Source organism: Homo sapiens, chromosome X (genome assembly GCF_000001405.40).
Source record: "Homo sapiens chromosome X, GRCh38.p14 Primary Assembly".
NCBI classification, from domain to species: Eukaryota; Metazoa; Chordata; class Mammalia; order Primates; family Hominidae; genus Homo; species Homo sapiens.
Window position 1 is genome coordinate 119,791,657 of NC_000023.11, and position 27,119 is coordinate 119,818,775.

General features: G+C 45.2%; 1 protein-coding gene and 1 long non-coding RNA gene across 10 annotated transcripts in view, besides 2 other annotated features; one reads left to right on the plus strand and one right to left on the minus strand.

The window, feature by feature from the left end:
• On the plus strand, positions 60-19,312 carry LOC107985694 (uncharacterized). Of its 5 annotated transcripts, none has more exons than XR_001755949.2 (3): positions 60-361; positions 1,920-2,080; positions 13,723-19,312. It is a non-coding gene; the product is annotated as an uncharacterized LOC107985694 (long non-coding RNA). The 5 variants fall into 5 exon arrangements; XR_007068309.1 differs by lacking the exon at positions 1,920-2,080 and adding an exon at positions 7,547-7,664 and having other exon boundaries at positions 13,723-13,991; XR_007068311.1 differs by lacking the exon at positions 60-361 and adding an exon at positions 7,547-7,664 and having other exon boundaries at positions 1,722-2,080; positions 13,723-13,801.
• Positions 13,655-27,119, minus strand: part of UPF3B (UPF3B regulator of nonsense mediated mRNA decay) — a 47,653-nt gene continuing 34,188 nt past the window's right edge. For 3 of the 5 annotated variants that reach the window (XM_017029739.2, XM_017029740.2, XM_017029737.2), the window contains one exon: positions 23,441-23,651. In XM_017029739.2, coding sequence (XP_016885228.1) covers positions 23,442-23,651 — 210 coding nt within the window. In that variant the 3' untranslated portion in view covers position 23,441. Of the gene's footprint in view, positions 15,926-23,440; positions 23,652-27,119 lie in introns of those variants that run through there. The other 2 variants (XM_017029738.2, XM_047442375.1) reach the window with 2 other exon arrangements.
• Positions 17,430-17,724: a silencer, noted in NCBI's record as "tiled region #4463; HepG2 Repressive non-DNase unmatched - State 24:Quies". NCBI's record gives its function as "weakly represses a minimal TATA promoter and a strong SV40 promoter by Sharpr-MPRA in HepG2 cells {active_cell/tissue: HepG2}" and the evidence as "EXISTENCE:reporter gene assay evidence [ECO:0000049][PMID:27701403]".
• Positions 17,430-17,724: an enhancer, noted in NCBI's record as "tiled region #4463; K562 Activating DNase matched - State 5:Enh". NCBI's record gives its function as "activates a minimal TATA promoter and a strong SV40 promoter by Sharpr-MPRA in K562 cells {active_cell/tissue: K562}" and the evidence as "EXISTENCE:reporter gene assay evidence [ECO:0000049][PMID:27701403]".

Consider the following 27,119-nt stretch of genomic DNA (forward strand, 5'->3'; position numbering starts at 1 on the left):
GGCGCTTCCGATGGGCGGAGTTTAGGAGGTGACGCTATGCACCGACCGCCTCTTCTAGTGCCTTCTCTGTCTAGCGGTGCGCTCCCGTGGCGCCGTGGGAAAGCGCGCTGGTTTCTGCCAAATGCAGTTAGCTTTGCTTCGCTTCCCTAAGTGCGTTCCCCCAGGGGCCCGGCAGTGTGCTAGGGGCACCCTGCTTCGTAAGTGAGGCAGACAGCCCGTGATAAATGCCAAAGTAGAAGCCCCTCCGAAAAATTAAGGAGCCGATTGGGCGGGACTAACCCTAAGGGAGGGCAGGGGAAGCGACCGTCACCTCCGGGCGCCGGGGACTCGGAACGCCGGGTCGGAGCTCGGCAGGCGGAGAGTAAGTGCCATTTTCCCAGAGGGTTACGAGTCATTTCGGCCTGGCTGGGAGGTGTGGGAAGGGACAGTCGTGTCGGAGGAAGCCGGAGAAGTTGGAGGGGGTTGGACCACGTGGACGCTTATGTAAGCCTAGGGGTTTTCGACTAGGCGGAAGGTTGCCAATCAAAGTTTTCAACTCAGAAAGTTAGGGACAGAACCTCTTCCTTGGCTGCTAGAAGTCCAGCCTGACATTGTAGCCCGCCTTTGGCAAGATGTACAATAATTAATAACATGCGTTTGGGATGCTAGTGTTCCCCATTTTCATCCTTTTCCCCATTTAAAAGCAAAAACCTTTCCTTTTTGATGAGTAAATAAAATAAACATAAAAATAAGCTGGGCGTGGTGGCTCACGCTTGTAATCCCAGCACTTTGGGAGGCCTAGGCGGGCGGATTACTTGAAACGAGGAGTTCGAGACCAGCCTGGCCAACATGGTGAAACCCCGTCCCTACTAAAAATACAAAAAAACTAACCAGGCGTGGTGGCGGGCGCCTGTAATCTCAGCTACTGCGGGGGCTGAGACAAGAGAATCTCTTGAACCCTGAAGGCGGAGGTTGCAGCGAGCCGAGATTGCGCCACTGCACTCCAGCCTGGGCAACAAGAGCAAAACTCCATCTCAAAAAAGAAAAAGTAAATAAATAAACGCAAAAACCTCCATGTATATTTGCAGTCACCTCAAGCATTTTTACACCAACGGATTACAGCAAGGGTTTTTAACCTGGAGTCCACAAGAGTCCATGTATAGAATTCAGAGGATCCCATGAACTTGAATGGGAAAATACAACTTTATTTTCACCAAATTTAATGAAATGTAATGCTTTCTTTATTTAGGAATGTAGGCAACAGACCACAGTGGCATTAGCAGTACTCGTGACTTGGTCACTAATAGAAACCATAGATGGCTTCATGTTACATTACAGTTGATGCAGATGTCTCCATATATTATTTACACACTCCCTTTAAATTACATTAGTTATAAGTTCACAAATAGAACTATGTTAAGAAGCCCATGTATTACTATAGCACATATTTCCTTTTTTTTTTTTTCAAGACTGAGTCTCCCTTTATTGCCCAGGCTAGAGTGCAATGGCACAATCTTGGCTCACTGCAACCTCCGCCTCCCGGGTTCAAGTGATTCTCATGCCTCAGCCTCCCGAGTAGCTGGGACTACAGGCACGCACTACCACACCCAGCTAATTTTTGTATTTTTAGTAGAGACGGAGTTTCGCCATGTTGGCTAAGCCGGTCTCGAACTCCTGACCTCAAGTAATCCGCCCGCCTCGGCCTCCCAAAGTGCTGGGATTACTGGAGTGCGCTACCGTGCCCGGCCTAAAGTCACATTCTGAGGTCCTGGGGATTAGGGCTTCAACACATGAATTTTGGGGGAACATAATTTAGCTCATGACACCACCAGTCACCTTCTAAGGCCGAATTCAAATGCTGTCTCTTCCCCTTAGCTGGAAATCATCACCCCTTCAACACTGTTGTAATAGTTTATTTGTACCTTTCTTATGGCTCCTAGCACTATCTGTTCTGTTGCAATGCAAAAGGATGAAAGTAACAGTGGCTGCTGCTTATGGGGCTTGATAGTTACTATGTAGCTGCATGTATTAATTCAAGCCTCACTGTGAGCTTACCATGTTTTACCAGTGACCTTTTGAATCTTCACCAGAACACTACAAGGTAAGTATGGTTAATCATCCTCATTTTACAGAAGAGGGAACTGCAACAGGGACAGATTAAGTTGTATACCCAAGGTCACACAGCTACTATGTTGCACAGCCGGTACTCAGACTCAGGTAGTCCAGGCTTCAGAGTCTGTGCTGTCACCACTACCCTCTACTGCCTTTTCAACACAGATTTTGGGAACCTACTCTGTCTGGTTCGGGTCTTCGTGTTGGGGGTACAGAAGCAAACAAATCTGACCAAAAATCCCTGCCCTCTTGGAGTCTTGTGGCGATGGTATGGTTCTGGATTTTTTTGTGGTGGGAATTACACAAAGCTACACGTGTGATAGAATTTGCCAAGTGTGGTGACTCACGTCTGTAATCCCAGCACTTTGGGAGGCTGAGGCGGGCGGATCACCTGAGGTCAGGAGTTCGAGATCAACCTGACCAACATGGTGAAACCCCGTCCCTACTAAAAATACAAAAATTAGCCAAGTGTGGTGGCGCGCGCCTGTAATCCCAGCTACTCAGGAGGCTGAGGCAGGAGAATGGCTTGAACCCGGGAGGTGGAGGCTGCAGTGAGCCGAGATCGCGCCACTGCACTCCAGCCTGGGTGACAGAGCGAGACTCTGTCTCAAAACAAACAAAAAAAATTAGCCGGGCATGCTGGTGCGTGCCTGTAGTCCAAGCTACTCAGGAGGCTGAGACAGAGAGAATTGCTTGAACCCAGGAGGTGGAGGGTGCAGTGAGCCGAGATCACAACACTGCACCCCAGCCTGGGTGACAGAGTGAGACTCTGTCTCAAAAAACAAAAACAAAAAAACAAAAAAAACAATTCTATACAACTCCCCCCTGCCCACCCCTGCCCCAAGGGGCATATGTATAACTGGTGAAATCTGAATAAGCTCTGTGGACTGTGCCAACGTGAATTTCCTGGTTGTGATATTGTACTATAGTTATGCAAGATGCTAACACTGGGGAAAACTAGATAAAGGGTACACAGGGCCTCTCAGTCCCTTTCTTTGCAACTTCTTGCGAATCTATTGTTATTTCAAAATACAAGTCTAAAAAAACTCTGCCTTCATTGAGTTTAATTATAGTGGGGAGTTAGACAACAAATATGTAAATTACATGGCACATCAGAAGGAGGTGTCATCAAGAAAAGCAAAGCAGGGGCCAGGTGCAGTGGCTAACACCTGTAATCCCAGCATTTTGGAAGGCTGGGGAAGGAGGAATAGTTGAGACCAGGAGTTTTAGATCAGCCTGGACAACATAGTGAGACTCTCTACAAAAAATACAAAATTTAGCCACTGGATGTGGTGGCACGTGCCCGTAGCTCCAGCTACTTGGAAGGCGAGAAGGGAGGAGCGCTTGAGCCCAGGAGTTCGAGGCTGCAGTGAGCCATGATTGTGCCACTGCACTCCAGCCTGAGCAACAGAGTGAGACCCTGTCTCAAAACAAACAAAAAATTGAGGGCTGGGCGCGGTGGCTCACGCCTATAATCCCAGCACTTTGGGAGGCCGAGGCGGGTGGATCACGAGGTCAGGAGTTCGAGACCAGCCTGACCAACATGGTGAAATCTCGTCTCTACTAAAAATACAAAAAATTAGCCGGGTGTGGTGGTGGCGCCTGTAATCCCAGCTACTCGGGAGGCTGAGGCAGGAGAATCGCTTGAACCCGGGAGGTGGAGGTTGCAGTGAGTGGAGATCATGCCACTGTACTTCAGCCTGGTGACAGAGGGAGACTCCGTCTCAAAAAAAAAAAAAAAAAAATTGAGAAAGGGTGGCATGAAAGGTAGAAGGAAAACCAGCAAGAAGTGCTCTTTCTAAAAGCAGTAAGAATTAAAAGGATAATTGACATAAGCACTTAAAAGCTTATTTGCTGCTGCTTCTGGTCACCAGAAAGAAAATGCTTGCTCTTAAATAAATGAGCAATAAAAATCCAAAAAATCCAAGTTAAAAAATGTATATTTGGAAAAATGGCCGGGCGTGGTGGCTCCCACCTGTAATCCCAGCACTTTGGGAGGCTGAGGCGGGTGGATCAACTTAGATCAGGAGTTCGAGACCAGCCTGGCCAACATGGCAGAACCCTGTCTCTACTAAAAATACAAAAATTAGCCGGGAATGGTGGCACACCTGCAATCACAGCTATTCAGGAGGCTGAGGCAGGAGAATTGCTTGAACCTAGGAGGTGGAAGTTTCAGTGAGCCGAGATCGCACCATTGCACTTCAGCCTGGGCAACAGAGTGAGACCCTGTCTCAAAAAAAAAAAAAAAGTTGGAAAAAAATAATGCAGCAATAAAAAATAATACAAATATAGACAGGTGTGGCAGCATGCACCTGTAGTCCTAGCTACTTGGGAGGCTGCGGTAGGCAGATTGCTTGATCCCAGGAGTTCAAGTCCAGCCTGGGCAATGTAGTGAGACCCTATCTCTAAAAATAAATACAAATGAAAAACAATACAGTATAATAATTATTTACATAGCATTTACACTACATTAGGTATTATAAGTAAACAAGAGATGACTTAAAGTATACAGGAGGATGTGTGTAGGTTATATGCAAATATTACATAATTTTATATAAAGGACTTGGACATCAGTGGGTTTTGGTATTAAAGAGATCCTGGAACCAATCCTTCATGGATACTGAGAGACGATTATATCTGCAAAGGTGTAGATGCTAAGAACAGGTATCCAGGGCCTCCCAGAGCCAGCCTAGGAGTCTGAGCTTTATCCTGGGGACCAACAATTTGCAGACTTCTTTTTTTTTCTTTCTTTTATTTTTATTTTTTTGAGACAGAGTCTCGCTCTGTCGCCTAGGCTGGAGTGCAATGGTATTATCTCCACTCACTGCAACCTCCACCTCCCTGGTTCAAGCAATTCTCCTGCCTCAGCCTCCCAAGTGGCTGGGATTACAGACACATGCTACCATCCCCAGCTAATTTTTGTATTTTTAGTAGAGATGGGTTTCACCATGTTGGCCAGTCTGGTCTCAAACTCCTGACCTCAAGTGATCCACCCGCCTCAGCCTCCCAAAGTGCTGGGATTACAGGCGTGAGCCACCACGCCCGATGTAGTTTGCAGACTTCTTTAACAGAATGGCTCTTTGTTTTAAAAGCCATTTTATATAGAAACTCACCATTGACTCTTCTCTGTTACACCCTTAATCCAGTCTCAGCAAATCCTGTCAGCTGTCTCAAAAATGTTTCTCGAATTCAGTGCTCATTTCCCCCACCGTCGTTCATCTCTCACTTGGATTACTGCAAAATCCTTCAAACTCTTCCCCCTTCTTCTGGCCCTGCCCCTCTACAGTTTCTTCTCAACACAGCAGTCAATGACCCTGTTAAAACCTAAGCCTGATCATGTCACTGTATTTAGTGGCTCCTTTTTATTTTTCATTTTTTTGAGACTAAGTCTTGCTCTGTCACCCAGGCTGGAGCGCAGTGGCATGATCTCAGGTCACTGCAACCTCCACCTCCTGAGTTCAAGTGATTCCTGTGCCTCAGCCTCTCAAATGGCTGGGACTACAGGCACATGCCACCACACCCGGCTAATTTTTGTGTTTTTAATAGAGATGGGGGTGTATGTTGGCCATGTTGGTCTTGAACTCCTGAGCTCAAGGGATCTGCCCCCTTCTGCCTCCCAAAGTGCTGGGATTGCAGGCATGAGCCACTGTGCCTGGCCTATTTAGTGGTTCTTAATGGCTCATTTCACTCCAGTAAATATCTAAGTGCCCCAGCCTGGGCGACATAGGGAGACCCTGTCGCTACGAAACGTTAAAAAATTAGCCGGATGTCGGGGCACACACCTGTGGTCTCAGCTATTCAGGAGGCTGAGGTGGGAGGATTGCTTGAGCCCGGAAGGTCAAGGCTGCAGTAAGATGAGATCACACCACTGTACTCCAGCCTGAGTAACAGAGCAAGACTCTATCTCCAAAAAAAATATAAAAAGAAGAAAAAAATTAAAGATTCAAGTTCTCACAACAGGCATACGCTTCCACATCAGCCCCTTCCACCTCACCTCTGTGACCTTATCTCCCACTGCTCTCACCATCAGTTCACTGGGCTTTGGCCATACTGGGCAGTTCTCAGCTCAGGGCCTTTGCACTTGCTCTTCTCGCTACCTGGAAGCTCTTCCCCTAGATGTCCCCACGCCTTCATGGCTTCCTTCATCAGTCTCCTTAGGTCTTTTTTCCAATGTCACCTCAGTGAGGCTTTCCCTAACCACTCTATCTATCTAAAATTGCAGCTCGGCCGGGCGCGATGGCTCACGCCTGTAATCCCAGCACTTTGGGAGGCTGAGGCGGGCAGATCATGAGGTCAGGAGTTCGAGACCAGCCTGGCCAACATGGTGAAACCCCATCTCTACTGAAAATACAAAAAATTAGCTGGGCATGATAGTGTGTGCCTGTAATCCCAGCTACTCAGGAGGCTTAGACAGGAGAATTGCTTGAACCGGGACTCGGGAGGTGGAGGTTACAGTGAGCTGAGATCATGCCACTCCACTCCAGCCTGGGAGACAGAGGGACACTCTGTCTCAAAAATAAAATAAAGTAAAATAAAATAAAATAAAGTAAAATTGCAAACCCCAGGTCGGGCGCAGTGGCTCACACCTATAATCCCAGCATTTTGGGAGGTCAAGGCCCAGCATTCTGGGCTTGAGCCCAGAAGTTTGAGACCATCCTGGGCAACATGGTGAGACCTCCGCCTCTACAAGAAAAATGCAAAGATTAGCTGGGTGTGGTGGCACATGCCTGTAGTCCCAGCTACTCAGGAAGCTGAGGTGGGAGGCTCACCTGAGCCTGGGGAGTTCGAGGCTACAGTCAGCAGTGATTGAGCCACTGCACTCCAGCCTGGGTGACAGAGTGAGACTCTCTCTAAAAAAAATTTGCAACCCCTGGCCCCCACTCAGCACTCCCTACCCCTACTACTGCTTTATTTTTCTCCATATTACTTACCTGAGATAACATATATTTTATTTATTGTTTGACTCCCTGCCTAGAATGTAAGCTCCATGAGGTCATGGATTGTGTATTTTGTTCACTGCTGTATTCCCTGAGCCTGGAACAGTGCCTGACACATAGTAGATGCGCAGTAAATATTTGGTGAATGAATGAACAAACGCTAATACATCAAAGAGACAACATCAAAGAACAGACTCCACAGGGCAGTTTACATCTTCATTGTTTGGCCCGACCCTTCTTGTTTGAGGGTGGATTTTCAAAATTACTGCTGAAGGCAATTGGGAGCCTTGAAAGCTTTTAAAGGGTAAGAGTAAGTGGCAATTATATATTTGTTGTTGTTGATGTTGTTGTTTTTGGAGGCAGGGTCTTGCTCTATCACCCCGGCTGGAGTGCAGTGGTATATTCTCAGCTCCCTGCAACCCCCACTTCCCCGGCTCAAGCCATCCTCCAACCTCAGGCCCCTAAGTAGCTGGGACTACAGGTGCGTGCTGCCAACCCAATTTTTTGTATTTTGGTAGAGACGGGGTCTCACCACATTGTCCAGGCTGATCTCGAACTCCTGACTTCAAGCGATCTCACCTCGGCCTCCCAAAGTGCTGGGATTACAGGCATAAGCCACCGTGCCTGGCCAATTATGTAAGTATTTTAAAAAGATCCTTTGGCCAGCTGGAGAGTAGATGGGGATGGGGACAATAGTGGAAACAAGAAGGCTCGTGGGGGCGGTTGTTAAAATTATGCTTTTTTTTTTTTGAAACAGAGTCTCGCTCTTGTCGCCTAGGCTGGAGTGCAGTGGCACGATCTCGGCTCACTGTAACCTCCGCCTCCCAGGTTCAAGCAGTTCTCCTGCCTCAGCCTCTGGAGTAGCTGGGATTACAGACACCTACCACCATGCCCGCTAATTTTTGTATTTTTAGTAGAGACGGGGTTTCGCCATGTTGGCCAGGCTGGTCTCCAACTCCTGACCTCAGGTGATCTGCCCGCCTCAGCCTCCCAAAGTGCTGGGATTACAGGCATGAGCCACCACGCCTGGTCAGCAAACTTTTTCTGATAGTAAATATTTTAGGCTTTGCAGATGACATACAGTGTCTGTTGCGACTACTCAACTCTGCTGTTGCAGGATGAAAGCTGCAGGACAATATGTAAATGAACGGTGTGGCTGGGTTCCAAGAAAACTTTAGTTACAGATACTAAAATTTAAATTCAATAGAATTGTCATGTGTCCCAAAATATTCTTTTGATTTTTTTCAACCATTCAAAAATACAGAAACCATTCTTAGCTCTCAGGCTGTACAAAAACACGCAGTGGCCAGGTTTGGTCCATAGGCTGTAATTTGCTGAGCCTAGGCCTAGATAATTATGTCAAGACTCTCCTCTCCCTCCTCAAACCTGCAACCCTTCTTCCTCCATTCTCACACTCAGTTGAGGACCTGGCTTCCTAGTCACTGAGAAAATTTAAGCAATCACAAGAGAACTCCCACAGCCCATCCACACATGCTATCTGCCAACACCTCCACGTGACTATTCCCCCATCCCTCTGTTACTGTGAATGAAACGTTTGAACTATGTCCGGCCTGTCTGCTCGCTTGTGCCCTAGATCCAAACCTCTCTCGCCCATTCAACAACCCTGCTCTGACTAGTCTTCCCTTTCTGTCCTTGCTGTTCACTGCATTATTCCCATCAACATACAAATAAATATGCTGTCATCTTAAAAAAGCTGCTTTTTACTCCAACTCCCTTGCCAGCTACTTCTTCTTCTCCTTCCCTTTACAACAAAACCCTGGTAAAGATTTGTCTTCATTCACTGTTTCCAACTTCTCTCCCATTCTTTAAGTGAGATACAATTCACGTAATATGAAAATCACCGTTTTTTTATTTTATTTTATTTTTGAGACAGAGTCTTGCTCTGTCAGGCTGGAGTGCAATGGCGTGATCTCAGCTCACTGCAACCTCGGCCTCCCGAGTTCAAGCGATTCTCCTGCCCCAACCTCCCAAGTAGCTGGGATTACAGGCATGCACCACCACACCCAGCTAATTTTTGTATTTTTAGTAGAGGCAGGGTTTCACCATGTTGGCCACGCTGGTCTTGAACTCCTGACCTCAGGTGATCTGCCCACCTCGGCCTCCCAGAGTGCTGGGATTACAGGTGTCAGCCACCGCACCGGCCACTATTTTATTTTATTTTATTTATTTTTGAGATAGAGTCTCTGTCACCCAGGCTGGAGTGCAGTGGCATGAACTCAGCTCACTGCAACCTCCGCCTCCTGGGTTCTAGTGATTCTCCTACCTCAGCCTCCCAAGTAGCTGGGATTACAGGCATGTGCCACCACGCCTGGCTAATTTTGTATTTTTAGTGGAGATGGGGTTTTGCCATGTTGGCCCAGCTGGTCTTGAACTCTTGACCTCAGGTGATCCACCCGCCTCAGCCTCCCAAAGTGCTAGGATTACAGATGTGAGCCACCGTGCCTGGCCTAGCAGTCACTCTTTCATTCCCACTCTTCTCTCAGCCCTAGGAAACCACTAATCTATTTTCCGTCTCTGTGGATTTGCCTATTCTGGATATTTTATATAAATGGAGACACAATATGTAGCCTTTTGTGTCTGCTTTCTTTCACTTAGCATAATGTTTTCAAGGTTCATCCATGTTGTAGCATGAATCAGTATTTCATTTTTTTTAGAAGTGGGGTCTCACTATATTGCCCAGGCTGGTCTTGAACTCCTGAGCTCAAGCAATCATCCCACCTTGGCCTCCCAAAGTGCTAGAATTACAGGTGTGAGGCACTGTGCCAGGCCAACATTTTTTATTTTTTTTAATAGAGACAGGGTCTCACTATGTTGCCCAGGCTAGTCTCGAACTCCTAAGTTCAAGTGATGCTCCCACCTCAGCCTCCCAAATGCTAGGATTACCTGGAAGAGCTCTCATGCCCGGCTCATTTTTCTTTCTCTTTCTCTTTCTTTTTTTTTCTTTCTTTCTTTCCTTTCTCCTTTTTTTCTTTCTTTCCTTCCTTCTTTCCTTCTTTCCTTTCCTTCCTTCTTTCCTTCCTTCCTCCCTCCCTCTTCTCTCTCCCTCCTTTCCTTCCTTTTTTCCTTCCTTCCTTCTTTCATTCCTCCCTCCCTCCCTCTCTCCTTCCCTCTTTCCTTCCTCCTTCCCTCCCTCTCACTCTTTTCCTTGCTTCCTTTTCTTTCTCTTTTTCTTTTTCTTTCTCTCTCTTTCTCTTTCCCTCCCTCCCTCCTTCTCTTTCCCTCCCTCCCTCCTTCTTTCTTTTTTCTTTCTCCTTCCTTCTTTCCTTATTTCCTTTTCCTTCCTTCCTTCTTCTCTTTCCCTTCCTTTCTCCCTCCCTCCCTTTTCTTTCTCTTTTCTTTCCTTCCTTTCTCTTTCTCCTTCCTTCCTCCTCCTTTTTCTCTTTCTCCCTTTCTCTCCTTCCTTCCTTCTTTCCTTTTTTCCTTCCTTCCTTTCTTCCCTCCCTCCCTCCCTCCCTTTTCTTTCTTTCCCTTCCTCCCTCCCTCCCTTTCTTTCCTCTTTTCTTTCTTTTTCCTTCCTTCCTTCCTTTCCATTTTTTTCCTCCTTCCTTTCTTTCTTCTTGACAGAGTCTTGCTCTCTTGCCCAGGCTGGAGTGCACTGGTGTGATCTTGGCTCACTGCAACCTCTGCCTCCTGGGTTCAAGCAATTCTCCTGACACAGCCTCCTGAGTAGCTGGGACCACAGGCTTGTGCCAACACGCCTGGCTGACTTTTGTATTTTTAATATTTTTTCTTTTTTTTTTTTTTTGGTGTTTATTTTTTTGAGACAGAGTCTCAGTCTGTCACCCAGGCAGCAGTGCAGTGGCGCGATCTTGGCTCACTGCAACCTCCATCTCTCAGGTTCAAGCAATTCTCCTGCCTCAGCCTCCCAAGTAGCTTGGATTGCAGATGTGCACTACCACGCCCGGCTAATTTTTGTATTTTTAGTAGGGGTGGGGTTTCACCATGTTGGCCAAGCTGGTCTTGAAGTCCTGACCTCAAGTGATCCTCCCGCCTCGGCCTCCCGAAGTGCTGGCATTTCAAGCATGAGCCACCACGCCCAGCCGTATTTTTAGTGGCCAACCTTGCTGGCCACTCCTCCTCCTTGAAACACTTTTCTCTTGGATTAAGTAACACCGGAGTCTTCTGGTATTTCTCCTACTCTGGCTATTCTTTCTGTCTTTGTAGATACATTTCCTTACCTCTGTGTAATGTTAAGAGTTCTTTAAGGCTGGGCCCTAGGTCTGCTTCTGTTCCTACTTCACTCTCTCCCCATAAAGTGACAGAATCCATGGTCATGACTTCAATGGACCCCTAAAAATGGATGAATTCCAAATCCATACATCCATTTCCCACCTGCCATTCACCCCTCACTATAACATGGTTTCTATCTCTTTTAGGTCATCAGTTTCATTAGTTCACTAATGAAATCACGACTGCCAAATCCAATGAACACTTCCATTTCTTGTCTTCCTTAATCTCTCTGTGGCATGGGACAATGTCAGCCAATCTCCTTCTTGAAATTTTCCCTTCCCTTAATCCTCTCGCCCATCTGACAGTCATTCACTTTCAATCATTTTTGGTGGCTCTTGTACCTCCCTCTTGGGCTACTTGTTTCTAAAAGCTGAGGAAACAAAGTTATTTAGAAAGTAAAGGCAAAGTGATGCCATGTTAGGAAGGGCTGGCAGAATGAATGAAAATCAGGCAAAAGCTCAAGGATGTTGTCTAAACATTTTGTTCTTAAGGGACCAGAATAGTTGATGTGGTTTGGATATTTGTCCCCACCCAAATCTCATGGAAATATAATCCCCAGTGTTGTAGGTGGGGCCTGGTGGGGTGTTGGGGTTATGGGGCAGATCCCTCATGGCTTGGTGCTGTCCTCTCCATAGTGAGTTTTACAGAGCTGGTTGTTGTAAAGTGTGGCACCTCCTCCCCGCACTCACTCTCTTGCTCACTCTGTGATGTGGGATGTCTTCTGCTTCACTTTCCACCATGAGTAAAAGCTCCCTGAGGCTTTCCCAAAACTCGAGCAGATACCAGTGCCACACTTCCTGTACAGCCTGCAGAACTGGGAGCCAATTAAATCTCTTTTCTTATAAATTATCCAGTCTCAGGTATTTATTTATTTATTTATTTATTTATTTTTCTGAGGCAGAGTCTCATTCTGTTGCCCAGGCTGGAGTGCAGTGGTGTGATCTCGGCTCATTGCAGCCTCCACCTTCCTGGGTTCAAGTGATTCTCCTGCCTCAGCCTCCTGAGCAGCTGGGATTACAGGCACCTGCCACCATGCCTGGCTAATTTTTGTATTTTTAGTAGAGATGGGGTTTCATCATTTTGGCCAGGCTGGTCTCAAACTCCTGACCTCAAGTGATCCGCCCATCTCAGCCTTCCAAAGTGTTGGGATTACAGGCGGGAGCCACTGCACCTGGCCAGGTATTTTTTTTTTTTCTTTTTTTGAGATGGAGTCTCACTCTGTCACCCAGACTGGAGTACAGTGGCACAATCTCGGCTCACTGCAACCTCCACCTCCCTGGTTCAAGTGATTCTTCTGCCTCCGCCTTCTGAGTAGCTGGGGACTACAGGCGTGTGCCACCACGCCCAGCTAATTTTTTGTATTTTTAGTAGAGATGTGGTTTCACCATGTTGGCCAGGCTGGTCTCAAACTCCTAACCTCGTGATCCACCCACCTCAGCCTCCCAAAATGCTGGGATTACAGGCATATGCCACTGCCCCCAGCCCCGGCCAGGTATTTCTTTATAATAATGTAAGAACAGCCTGTATTAGTTCGTTTTCACACTGCTGATAAAGACATACCCGAGGCCAGGAGTGGTGGCTCATGCCTGTAATCCCAGCACTTTGGGAGGCCGAGGCAGTGGATCACCTGAGGTCGGGAGTTCAAGACCAGCCTGGCCAACATGGTGAATTCCCATCTCTACTAAAAATACGAAATTTAGCCAGGCACGGTGGCGGATGGCTGTAATCTCAGCTACTAGGGAGGCTGAGGCAGGAGAATTGCTTGAATCTGGGAGGTGGAGGTTTCAGTGAGTTGAGATCACGCCACTGCACTCCAGCCTGGGTGACAGAGTAAGACCTTGTCTCAAAAAAAAAAAAAAAAAAAAAAAAAGACATACCCGAAACTGGGATGGAAAAGAGGCTTTAATGGACTCACAGTTCCACATGGGTAGGGAGGCCCCACAATTATGGCAGAAGGCAAGGAGGAGCAAGTCATGTCTTACATGGATGGCAGCAGGACAAAAAGAGCTTGTGCCGGGGAACTCCTCTTTATGAAACCATCAGATCTTGTGAGACTTCTTCACTATCATGGGAACAGCACAGGAAAGACCTGCCCCATTATTCAATTACCTCTCACTGGGTCCCTCACACAACATGTAGGAATTCAAGATGAGATGTGGGTGGGGGCACAGCCAAAAAACATCAGGCCTAATATAGGAGTGAACCATGAACTGATTTTTCCCTGGTAGACAAAACAAAGGCATGCCAGTGAAAGCAGAAACTAATATCATTCATGCACTTTTGAAATTCTCCAGAGGTTAATTCAGTATCAAAAATTTAATTTCTCAAATATAACAGCTATTTAGTGAAGTTAATAAACACACTTAGCTTCATACTTGAATGTTGTTACTATTTATTGACATCAAAACAAAACAAGCTGAGACTAAAAGTTGCTATTTAACAGGAACAGACATTGATGCAGTTTCCTTCCTGGAGAGGGTACACACTCAGATCATGAGACCTAAGATAAAACACACACTGGATTGTCAAGAATCAAACAAGGACTACCAATGGGATCTAATTAAACTAAAGAGCTTCTGCACAGCAAAAGAAACTACCATCAGGGTGAACAGGCAACCTACAAAATGGGAGAAAATTTTCGCAACCTACTCATCTGACGAAGGGCTAATATCCAGAATCTACAATGACCTCAAATAAATTTACAAGAAAAAACAACCCCATCAAAAAGTGGGCTAAGGACATGAACAGACACTTCTCAAAAGAAGACATTTATGCAGCCAAAAAACACATGAAAAAATGCTCATCATCCCTGGCCATCAGAGAAATGCAAATCAAAACCACAATGAGATACCATCTCACACCAGTTAGAATGGCAATCATTAAAAAGTCAGGAAACAACAGGTGCTGGAGAGGATGTGGAGAAATAGGAACACTTTTACACTGTTGGTGGGACTGTAAACTAGTTCAACCATTGTGGAAGTCAGTGTGGCGATTCCTCAGGGATCTAGAACTAGAAATACCATTTGACCCAGCCATCCCATTACTGGGTATATACCCAAAGGACTATAAATCATGCTGCTATAAAGACACATGCACACGTATGTTTACTGCGGCATTATTCACAATAGCAAAGACTTGGAACCAACCCAAATGTCCAACAATGATAGACTGGATTAAGAAAATGTGGCACATATACACCATGGAATACTATGCAGCCATAAAAAATGATGAGTTCATGTCCTTTGTAGGGACATGGATGAAACTGGAAATCATCATTCTCAGTAAACTATTGCAAGAACAAAAAACCAAACACCGCATATTCTCACTCATAGGTGGGAATTGAACAATGAGATCACATGGACACAGGAAGGGGAATATCACACTCTGGGGACTGTGGTGGGGTTGGGGGAGGGGGGAGGGATAGCATTGGGAGATATACCTAATGCTAGATGACGAGTTAGTGGGTGCAGCACACCAGCATGGCACATGTATACATATGTAACTAACCTGCACAATGTGCACATGTACCCTAAAACTTAAAGTATAATAAAAAATAAAAAAAGCTGAAGATAAAAGCAGATGTTTGAAAATATTCTTCATGCTAAGCTCATGTAAGCAAACAAAAAACTAAAAGTAATCCTTAAACTTTAGGACATTAGATGCAGAAGTAACATGACTATTTAAATTTTGGCACCAACAAAAGTTTGTTCTATCCTTCACTGTACTTATACTACAAGGACATGCTTGTTGCTTCTACACTTCCCAAAGTCAACAGTTATCATCAACAATGCAATAAAACTAGATTGGAATGGACGGGCACGGTGGCTCATACCTGTAATCCCAGCACTTTGGAAGGCCGAAGCGGGGGGAATCACCTGAGGTCAGGAGTTCAAGACCAGCGTGGCCAACGTGGTGAAACCCCATGTCTACTAAAAATACAAAAATTAGCCAGGCAAGGTGGCGGGCACCTGTAATCCCAGCTACTCGGGAGGCTGAGGCAGGAGAATCAGTTGAACCCAGGAGGTGGAGGTTGCAGTGAACCGACATTGAGCCACTGTACTCCAGGCTGGGCAACAGGGTGAGACCCTGTCTAAAAAAAAAAAAAAAAAAAAAAAAGAAAAAAAAAAAAGAAAATTCAACTCGGGATGAACAACAGCTTTTGATTTTAGAACCAGCTCTTACTTTTCTCTCGTGTCATACGTAATGAAGTCCTCACTTGACATTTCCCTGCAAATTGCAATGCATGTCCTCACCATCAGCTTTTTCTGACACTAAAATTAATTTGTATAAATTGCAAAAGCAATGAAATTGTACTTCCAATTCTGAACCTCTGATCAGATTCCTGCTTTGACACAAGACTTACTCCTCTGCAGTGTACCCCACCAGCACAACCACCCCCTTTCTCTCTATTCTTTGCCCTGAAGGCACTTCTGGATTGCTTAACGTGTGCTCTTTGGCTGCCTAGACAGTCAGTACACCTAAGGCCATCTGGACTTAACACTCCCTTCCTCCTTCTTTTCTATGGTTAATATCACTTTCCTGCTTTCTTTCTACTGCTGAATCTCCAGATTGGTGCTGCCATCTTGCCACCAGAATCGACCTGGGCTTCGAGCTCCTGGATGGTAAAGCTTCATCCCTGGATGATCCTGAAGTATAATGAAATATGTTACTGTTAGAACAATGCTAATATGCTTTAAATGGGATTATCAGGTCATATCTTATATATATTAATATATACTAAAGCTCAGTAATTTAAGACCAAAAATGTGAGGGCATGGTAAATGACAACTTGCCCATTTCCTCTCTCCATCTCCAAAGAAAAGCAACCATTTTATAATTATTATTTTATAAGCCTGGTTCAGTTTCTTTTTTTTCAGAGATATCATCTCACTGTGTCACCCAGGCTGAAGTGCAAGTGGCACAATTGCAGCTCACTGCAGCCTCGACATTCCAGACTCAAGCGATCCTCCCACCTCAGCTCCCTAGTAGCTGGGATTGCAGGCAGGTGCAACCACACTGGGCTAAGTTTTTAAATTTTTAGTAGAGAGGGGGTCTCCCTATGTTATCCAGGCGGGTCTTGAACTCCTGAAGTTAAGTGATCCTCCCGCCTTGGCCTCCGAAATGCTAGGAGACGGGGTTTCGCCATGTAGGCCCAGCTCGTCTCCAACTGCTGACCTCAAGTTATCTGCCTGCCTCAGCCTCCCAAAGTGCTGGGCTTATAGGGATGAGCCACCGTGCCTGGCCTATAGTTATTAAGGACATGAAATTATGCTTTATGAGGAAGTGGTCCTCACCCCCACTGCCTACAACACAAGAAAGGAGAGGAAGGGAGCAAACTAGAAGAAGAAAGGTGGTATTGGGGGAAAGGATATCAATTAAAGATGGATTTTAAAAATTGCTTCGCAGGAGGGAGGGCCCTCCTGTGGTTTCACTGGTTGATCTGGCTGAGGGATTTTCTCCAGCGACACTTGCAGCTTAGGGGCAAGAGGCTCCCACAACACCCTGTGCTACCTCGACCCTTCTGACATTGTGCATCATGATCTGATTATTGCTATTTGCCTCTTGCCAATATTGAACCATGAGTTCAACACAGACAAGGACTTATTTTAATCCTTGACCCCAGGGCCGGGCACACAGTCAGTGATTGGTACATGTTTGCTAAATGAATGAGCAAATGGAAGAAATTGAAGAGGGTGGGGTGGGGACGTGTGGTTTATCCAGAGCTGGACAGGCAAGGCAAGTAGAACAGAAGAGGGAGGTGCTGACGTGAAAACGGCCTTGAGATGGCTGGCAACAGGCTAGACAAAGAGGCAAGGGATGTCAGCTCATGCCTGGTGGTTCAGGAGAATGGCTTCTCTTAAGGCCAACTCCTCTAACCTCTATCTTGGCTTCCATTTTCACCTGCCTTTGCAGGAAGCCTACAGTATTAGTAGTCTCTTTCTCTTGGGTATTCATTCTTTTAGAGCTTTCCTTTTGGCTTCTAAACTTACTTTCTCATATTTAAAATAATGCTTCATTAACACCATTAACCTATGTATCTCAATTTCTTTCACAGCTGTGTTAGTCTGTTTTCACAGTGGTAGAAAGAAATACCCGAGACTGGGTAGTATATAAAGAGAAGAGATTTAATTGACTCACAGTTTCGAATGGCTCGGGAGGCCTCAGGAAATTTAAAATTATGGCAGAAGGTGAAGCAGGCATGCCTTACATGACAGCAGGCGAGAGGTGAATTGCGAGTATAGGAAAAACTGCCACTTTTAAGACCATCAGATCTGGTGTGACTCACTCATTATCAGGAGAACAGCATGAGGGAAACCAGCCTCCTAATCCAATCACCTCCCACCAACTTCCTCCCTTGACACATAAGGATTACAATTCAAGATAAGATTTGGGTGGGGACACAGAGCCCAACCATATCAACAGCCATATGAGAAGTCTTCAAAAAGTCCATGGAAAATGTGTATTATCAAGAAACTGTGCATGGATTGCAAAATCTTTTTGAGGGCTGGGCATGGTGACTCACCCCTGTAATCCCAGCACTTTGGGAAGCTGAGACTGGTGGATCACTTGAGGTCAGGAGTTTGATACCAGCCTGGCCAACATGGTGAAACCTCGTCTCTACTAAAAAACAGAAAAATTAGCCAGGTGTGGTGGTTCACACTTGTATTCTCAGCTACTCAGGAGGCTGAGGGAGGAGAATAGCTTGAACTGGGGAGGTGAGGTTGCAATGAGCTGAGATCGCGCCACAGCACTGCAGCCTGGGCGACAGAGTGAGACTCCATCTCAAAAACAAAATCTTTTTGCACCAAAACAAACTGGTACTAACGCATTATAAAATGTCTCAACAGGATCTAGTTTGAGTCATTAAAAAGGAGAAGTCATCAGTTTGAAAAGAGCTACAATCAGAGCAAAATGAATTCTGCTAAAATTGAAGGAACAACAAACGTCAAATTTAGGGTGAGGTTAGGGTGGAAGAATGGTAAAATCACTGATGCTTTACCAAAAGTTTATGGGGACAATGCACCTAAATAAATCAGCAGTTTATAAAAATAGTTAATTTGTAAGAAAGGACAAGACGATGCTGAAGATGAAGCCTGCAGCAGCAGGTCATCCACATCAATTTGTGAGAAAAAAAATTTATCTTCTTTGTGCCCTAATTTGGAAGGACCAACGATTAACAGCAGAAACAACAGTCAACACCATAGACATCACAATTGGTTCAGCTTACAGAATTCTGACTGAAAAATCAAAAGTTGAGCAAACTTTCCACTTGATGGGTGCCAAAACCAGATCAGCTGCAAAGAACAGAGCTTTCAATGGAAATTTTAAACAAGTAGGCTCTATTGGTTGCTACAAAATTAATTGCAGTTTTTGCCATTGAAAGACATGTCAAAAACCGCAATTACTTTTGCCCCAACCAATAGATCATGAAGCATCTATTGGGAAAGTGTAACAGGAGGTGAAATGTGGCTTTCCAACTATGGAGACAAAGTACAATCGAAGTAATGGCTCCGAAGATGTGGAAGTGGTCCAGTCAAAGCAAAAGTGGTCTGGTCAAGAGCAAAGGTCATGGAAATAGTTTTTTGAGCTGCTTGAGAAATTTTGCTTGTTGACTTTCTGGAGGGCCAAAGAAAAATAACATCTGCTTATTATGAGAGTGTTTTGAGAAAGCCAAAGCTTTAGCAGAAAAATGCCCAGGAAAACTTCACCAGAGAGTCCTTTTCTATCACAGCAAAGGTTCTGCTCACGCCTCTCATCAAACGGGAAATTTTGAGAGAGTTTCAATGGGAAACCAGTAGGCATTCACCCTACAGTTGGTATTTAGCTCCTTCCAACTTCTTTTGGTTTCCTAATGATAAAAAATCTGTAAAGGGTACCATTTTTTTTCCAGTTAATAATGTAAAAAAGATTGCATTGATGTAAATTCCCAGGAACTCCAATTCTTTGGGGATGGATAAAATGGCTAGTATCTAAGTGCTGTGAGCAAGAGACAAAAATAAATAAATAAATGGCTAATATCATTGCCTACAAAAGTGTCAAAGTTTCTTGACCTTGGTGGATCTTATAAGTTTATATTTTTTATCTTTTACGTCTATTTTCCACAAACTTTTTTTTTTTTTTGAGACAGAGTCTGGCTCTGTCACCCAGGCTGGAGTGCAGTGACGTGATCTCCGCTCACTGCAACCTCCGCCTCCCGGGTTCAAGCGATTCTCCTGCCTGAGCCTCCTGAGTAGTTTGTACTACAGGTACGCGACACAACACACAGCAATTTTTTTTTCTATTTTTTTAGTAGAGGTGGGGTTTTGCCGTGTTGGCCAGGCTGGTCTTGAACTCCTGACCTCAGGTGGTCCACCTGCTTCGGCCTCCCAAAATGCTGGGATTACAGGAGTGAGTTACTGCACCCATCATCTGTTCTTTTAAAAATCCATGGCCGGGTGCGGTGGCTCACACCTGTAATCCCAGCACTTTGGGAGGCCGAGGTGGATGAATCACAAGGTCAAGAGATCATAGACCATCCTCGCCAACATGGTGAAACCCCGTCTCTACTAAAAATACAAAAATTAGCTGGGCTTGGTGTCACGTGCTTGAAGTTCCAGCTACTCGGGAGGCTGAGGCAGGAGAATCACTTGAACCCCGGAGGCAGAGGTTGCAGTGGGCAAAGATCGTGCTGCTGCACTCCAGTCTGGTGACAGAGTGAGACTCAGTCTCAAAAAAAAAAAAAAAAAATCCCTCAGGCTGGACACGGTGGCTCATACCTGTAATCCCAGCACTTTGCGAGGCTAAGGTGGGCGGATTGCTTGAGCCCAAGAGTTTGAGATCAGCCTGGGCAACATGGGAAAACCCTGTCTTGACAAAAAATACAAAAGTTAGCTGGGCATGGTGGCCTATGCCTATATTCCCAGCTACTCAGGAGGCTGATGTGGGAGGATCAACTGAACCCAGAAGGTCAAGGCTGCAGTGAGCCGTGATTGTGCCATGGCACTCCAGTGGTGGTGACAGACAGAAACCTTACCTCAAAAGAAAAAAAAAAATCCAGGCTGGGCCCAGTGGCTCATGCCTGTAATCTCAGCCCATTGGGAGGTTTAGGTGTGCACATCACTTGAGGTGAGGAATTGGAGACCAGCCTGGCCAACATGGTGAAACCCTGTCTCTACAAAAAATACAAAAATTAGCCATGTGTGGTGCCAGGCATCTGCAATCCAGCTACTTGGGAGGCAGAGGAAGGAGAATTTCTTCAACTCAGGAGGTGGAGGTTGCAGTGAGCCAAGATGGCACCACTGCACTACAGCCTGGGTGACAGAGCAAGACTCTGTCTTAAAAAAAAAAGAAAAAAATCCACCTAGGAACTAATTGCAAGCCATGATTCTTTCTGATAATTACATATTTATATGTTCAGGAGAATGTGAAGGAGGCCTCAGAGTAGAACTAAGGGTCCAGAAACTTTTGAAGATCCCTCGTACTTCCCTAAAAAGTTGTATATATCTTTTCCATTCTCAACCCAATCTGGCTTCCCTGCCCCATAATTCTAGGGCATCAGTGATTTGCAAGTCACTGAATGCCATGGCTTTTGTCAGGCATCATAATTGACCATTCAGCGGCATCCAACCCTGCTGGCCACTCCTCTTCCTTGAAACACTTTTCTCTTAGATTAAGTAACCCAGAGTCTTCTGGTTTTTCTCCTACTCTCTGGCTAGTCCTTCTCTGTTTTTGTAGATACATTTCTTTACCTCTATGTAATGTTAGTTTTTCGAGGTTGGGCCCTAGGTCTGCTTCTGTTCTTACTTCACTCTCCCTCTTAAGTAACAGAATCAATGGCCATGACTTCAATGACCACCTAAAAAGAGATGAATTCCAAACATACATCCATTTCCCACCTGCCATTCACCCCTCACTGTAACATGGTTTCTGTCTCTTTTAGGTCATCAGTTTCATTAGTTCACTAATGAAATCACGACTGCCAAATCCAGTGAACACTTCCATTTCTTGTCTTCCTTAGCCTCTCTGTGGCACGGGACATTGTCAGCCAATCTCCTTCTAGAAATTTTCCCTTCCTTTAGTACTCTTGCCCAGTTGACAATCATTTACTTTCAGTCATTATTGGTGGCTCTTGTACCTGCCTCTTTGGCTATTTGTTTCTAAAAGCTGGGAAAACATAAAGTGGTGATTAAGAAAGTAAAGGCGAACTGATGCCACGTCAGGAAGGGCTGGCAGAATGAATGAAAATCAGGCAAAAGCTCAAGGATGTTGTCTAACATTTTGTTCTTATGGGACAAGAATAGTGGATGTAGTTTGGATATTTGTCCCCACCCAAATCTCATGGAAATATAATCCCCAGTGTTGTAGGTGGGTCCTGGTGGGGTGTTGGGGTTATGGGGCGGATCCCTCATGGCTTGGTGCTGTCCTCTCCATAGTGAGTTCTTACAGAGCTGGTTGTTGTAAAGTGTGGCACCTCCTCCCCGCACTCACTCTCTTGCTCACTCTGTGATGTGAGATGGCTGCTCCTGCTTTACCTTCCGCTATGAGTAAAAGCTCCCTGAGGCCTCCCAGAAGCTGAGCAATGTGAGATTCCCGACTTGTACAGCCTGCAGAACTATAAGCCAATTAAACCTCTTTTATTTTTTTCTTTTCTTTTTTTTTTTTTTTGAGATGGAGTCTCGCTCTGTCACCCAGGCTGGAGTGCAGTGGTGCTATCTTGGCTCACTGCAACTTCTGCCTCCTGGGTTCAAGCGATTCTCCTGCCTCGGCCTCCCGAGTAGCTTGGATTACAGGAGCGTGCCACCATGCCCGGTTAATTTTTTTGTATTTTTAGTAGAGACAGGGTTTCACCATGTTGGCCAGGCTGGTCTCAAACTCCTGACATCAAGTGGTCATCCCACCTCAGCCTCACAAAGTGCTGGGATTACAGGCATGAGCCACCGTGCCTGGCCAAACTTCTTTTCTTATCAATTACCCAGTCTCAGGTGTTTCTTTTTAGCAGTGCAAGAATGGTCTAATACAGGAGTGAACCATGAACTGATCGTTCTCTGGTGGACAAAACAAAGGCATGCTAGCGAAGGCAGAAACTAATATCATTCATCTGCTTTCCAAACTCCAAAGAGGTTAATTCAGTATCAAAAAATTAATTTCTCAAAATTCACAGCTGTTTGCTAAAGTTACTCACTACACTTAACTTCATACTTGAATGCTGTTACTATTTATTGACATCAAAACAAAACAAGCTGAGACTAAAAGTTGCTATTTAACAGGAATAGACATCGGTGCAGTTTCCTTCCTGGAGAGGGTAGGCACTCAGATCATGAGACCTAAGATCAAACAAACTAGATTGTCAAGAATCCAACAAGGACTACATTTTACCTCTTAATAAAAAAAATGCTGGAGACAAAACAAGATGTTTAAAAATATTCTTCATGCCAAGCTTAGATAAGCAAATAAAAAACTAAAACTAATCCTAAAACTTGAGGATATTGGATACGGAAGTAACATGACTATTTAAATGTTTGCATCAATGAAAGTTTGTTCTATTCTTCCCTGTACTTGTACTACAAGGACATGCTTGTTGCTTCTATACTACCCAAAGTCAACAGTTATCATCAACAATTCAGTAGAAATAGATCAGAACAAGACTTCAAAGCGACTCTGCTCCACCAAAATTTAGAAACTCAATTTGGGATGAACAAAAGCTTTTGATTTTAGAACCAGCTCTTACTTTTCTCTCATGTCATATGTGATGAAGTCCTCACTTGACATTTCCCCCTGCAAATTGCAATGCATGTCCTTGCCATCATCTTTTTCTGACACTTTAATTTATAGAAATTGCAAAAGCAATGAAATTGTACTTCCAATTCTGAACCTCTGATCAGATTCCTGCTTTGAGGCAAAACTTACTCCTCTGCTGCACACTCCTCTACTCTTTTCTTTCTTTCTTTTTTTTTTTTTTTTTTTTTTTTGAGATGGAGTCTTACTCTGTTGCCCAGGCTGGAGTGCAGTGGCAAGATCACGGCTTACTGCAACCTCCGCCTCCTGAGTTCAAGCGATTCTCCTGCCTCAGCCTCCCGAGTACCTGGGACTACAGGCACCTGGCACCACGCCTGGCTAGTTCTTGTATTTTCAGTAGAGATGGGGTTTCACCATGTTGACCAGGCTGGTCTCAAACTCCTGACCTCAGGTAATCCACCCGCCTCGGCCTCCCAAGGTGCTGGGATTACAGGCGTGAACCATCACACCCAGCCTCTCCTCTTCTTTTGTATGGCTAATACAACTTTCCTGCTTTCTTTCTACTGCTGAATCTCCAGACTTGGTTATGTCATCAGGGTGCGAGAGTCGACCTTGGCTTCGAGCTCCTGGATGGTAACGCTGCATCCCTGGATGATTCTGAAGTACAATGAAATATGTTACTGTTACAACAATGCTGCTAAGCTTTTACGTGGGATTTTCAAGTCATAACTTATATATTAATATATACTAAAGTCCAGTCATTTAAGACCAAAAATGTGAAGGCATGGTAAATGACAACTTGCCCACTTCCTCTCTCCATTTCCAAAGAAAAGCAACCATTTCCTAATTATTATTTTATAAGCCTGGTACAACTTATTTTTCTTAGAGACATGGTCTCATTTTGTCACTCAGGCTGAAGTGCAAATGGCAAGATTGCAGCTCACAACAGCCTTGACATTCCAGACTCCAGCCATCCTCCCACCTCAGCTTCCTAGTAGCTGGAATTGCAGGCACGCTCTACCACACTGGGCTAAGTTTTAAAATTTTTAATAGAGATGGGGTCTCCCTATGTTATCCGGGCTGGCTTTGAACTCCTGAAGTTAAATGATTCTGCCACCTTGGCCTCCCAAATGCTAGGATTGCCTGCATAGACGAAGTTTCGCTCTGGTTGTCCAGGTTGGAGTGCAGTAGTGCAATCTCGGCTCACTGTAACCTCTGCCTCCCGGGTTCAAGCGATTCTCCTGCCTTAGTCTGCTGAGTAGCTGGGACTACAGGTGCACACCACCAAGCCCGGCTAATTTTTGTATTTTTAGTAGAGACGGGGTTTCACCACGTAGGCCAGGTTCATCTCCAACTGCTGACCTCAAGTGATCCACCTGCCTCGGCCTCCCAAAGTGCTGGGATTACAGGCATGAGCCACCATGCCTGGCCTATAGTTATTAAGGACATGAAATTATGCTTTATGAGGAAGTGGTCCTCACCCCCCTTGCCTGCAACACAAGAAAGGAGAGCAAGGGAGCAAAGTAGAAGAAAGGTGGCACTGGGGAAAGGATATCAATTCAAGACTGATGGTAAAAATTGCTTAGCAGGAGTGAAGGCTCTCCTGTGGTTTCACCAATTGATCTGCTTGAGGGATTTTCTCCAGCGACACTTGCAGCTTAGGGGCAAGAGGCTCCCACAACACCCTGTGCTACCGCGACCCTTCTGACATTGTGCATCATGATCTGATTATTGCTATTTGCCTCTTGCCAACACTGAAACATGAGTTCCACGTGCACAAGGACTTATTTGAATCCCTGACCCCAGGGCCTGGCACACAGTCAGTGATTGGTACATGTTTGCTAAATGAATGAGCAAATGGAAGAAATTGAAGAGGGTGGGGTGGGGATGGGTGATTTATCCAGAGCTGGACAGGCCAGGCAAGTAGAACAGAAGAGGGAGGTGCTGACATGAAAACAGGCTAGACAAAGAGGCAAGGATGTCAACTCATGCCTGGGGGTTCAGGAGTGTTGCTTCTCCTAAGGCCAACTCCTCTAACCTCTACCTTGGCTTCCATTTTCACCTGCCTTTGCAGGAAGCCTACAGTATTCGTTGTCTCTTTCTCTTGAGTATTCATCCTTGTAGAGCTTACCTTTTGGCTTCTAAACTTACTTACTTTCTCATATTTAAAATAAAGCTTCATTAACACCATTAACCTATGTATCTCCATTTCTTTCACAGCTATATTAATTGGTTTTCACACTAGTAGAAAAAATACCCAAGGCTGGGTAATATATAAAGAGAAGAGGTTTAATTATTTTATTTTATTTTTATTTATTTATAAAATAAATAAAATATGTGACGTAGTCTCGCTCTTGTCGCCCAGGCTGGAGTGCAATGGTGCGATCTCGGCTGACCACACTTCTGCCCTTCAGGTTTAGGCGCTTCTCCTGCCTCAGCCTCCTGAGTAGCTAGAATTACAGGCGGGCATAAGCACACCCAGCTAATTTTTGTATTTTTAGTAGAGATGGGTTTCGCCATGTTTGCCTGGCTGGTCTGGAACTCCTGACCTCAGGTGATCCACCGGCCTTGGTATCCCAAAGCTGGGATTACAGGGGTGAGCCACCAAGCCCAGCCGAAGAGGTTTAATTGACTCACAGTTCCACATGGCTGGGGGAGCCTCAGGAAACTTACAATCATGGCAGAAGGGGAAGTGGACACATGCTACATGGCAGCAGACTAGAGGTGAAGTGCGAGCATAGGAAAAACTGCCTTGTTTAAAACCATCAGATCTTGTGAGGCTTACTCACTATCACAAGATCAGCATGTGTGAGACTGCCCCAATAATCCAATCACCTCCTACCAAGCTCCTCCCTTGACACATGAGGATTACAGTTTAAGATGAGATTTGGGTGCGGGAACAGAGCTCAATCATATCAACAGTCATATGAGAAGTCTTCAAAAAGTCCATGGAAAATGTGTATTATCAAGAAACTATGCATGGATTGCAAAATCTTTTGGCATCAAAATAAACTGGTACTAACTCGTTAAAAAATATCTCGACAGGATCTAGTTTGAGGCATTAAAAAGGAGAAAGCATCAGTGTGAAAAGAGCTCCTATCAGCGAAAAATGGATTCTGCTAAAATTGAAGGAAGAACAAACATAAAATTTAAGATGAAGCTTGGGTGGAAGAACGGTAAAATCACTGATGCTTTACCAAAAGTTTATGGGGACAATGCCCCTAAAGAGATCAGCAGTTTACAAATGGATAACTTGTAAGAAAGGACAAAATGATGTTGAAGATGAAGCCTGCAGCAGCAGGTCATCCACATCAATATGCAAGGGAAAAAATTAGGCCAGGCGCAGTGGCTCACACCTGTAATCCCAGCACTTTGGGAGGCCGAGGCGGGTGGATCACAAGGTCAGGGGTTCAAGACCAGCCTGGCCAACATAGTGAAACCCCGTCTCTACTAAAAATACAAAAATTAGTTGGGTATGGTGGCATGAGCCTGTGGTCCCAGCTACTCAGGAGGCCGAGGCAGGAGAATCGCTTGAACCCAGGAGGCGGAGGTTGTGGTGAGCTGAGATCATGCCACTGCACTCCAACCTGGGCAACAGAATGAGACTCCGTCTTAAAAAACAACAACAACAAAAATCCTCTTCGTGCTTTAACTGAAAAGCATCGGCTGGGTGTGGTGGCTCACCCCTGTAATTCCAGCACTCTGGGAGGCCAAGGCGGGCGGGTCATCTGACCAACCTGGCCCACGTGGTGAAACCCTGTCTCTAATAAAAATACAAAAATTAACTGGGTGCGGTGGCAGGTGTCTGTAATTCCAACTACTTGGGAGGCTGAGGCAGGAGAATCATTGAACCCGGGAGGCAGAGGTTGCAGTGAGCCAAGATTGTGCCACTGGCCTCCAGCCTTCGTGAGAGACTAAGACCAACTATTAATGGCAGAAACAACAGCCATCACCATAGACATCACAATTGGTTCAGCTTACACAATTCTGACTGAAAAATTAAAAGTTGAGCAAACTTTCCACTTGATGGGTGCCAAAACCAGATCAGCTGCAGACAAGAACAGAGATTTCAACGGAAATTTTAAACAAGTGAGATCTATTACGTTGCTGCATATTAATTGTGGT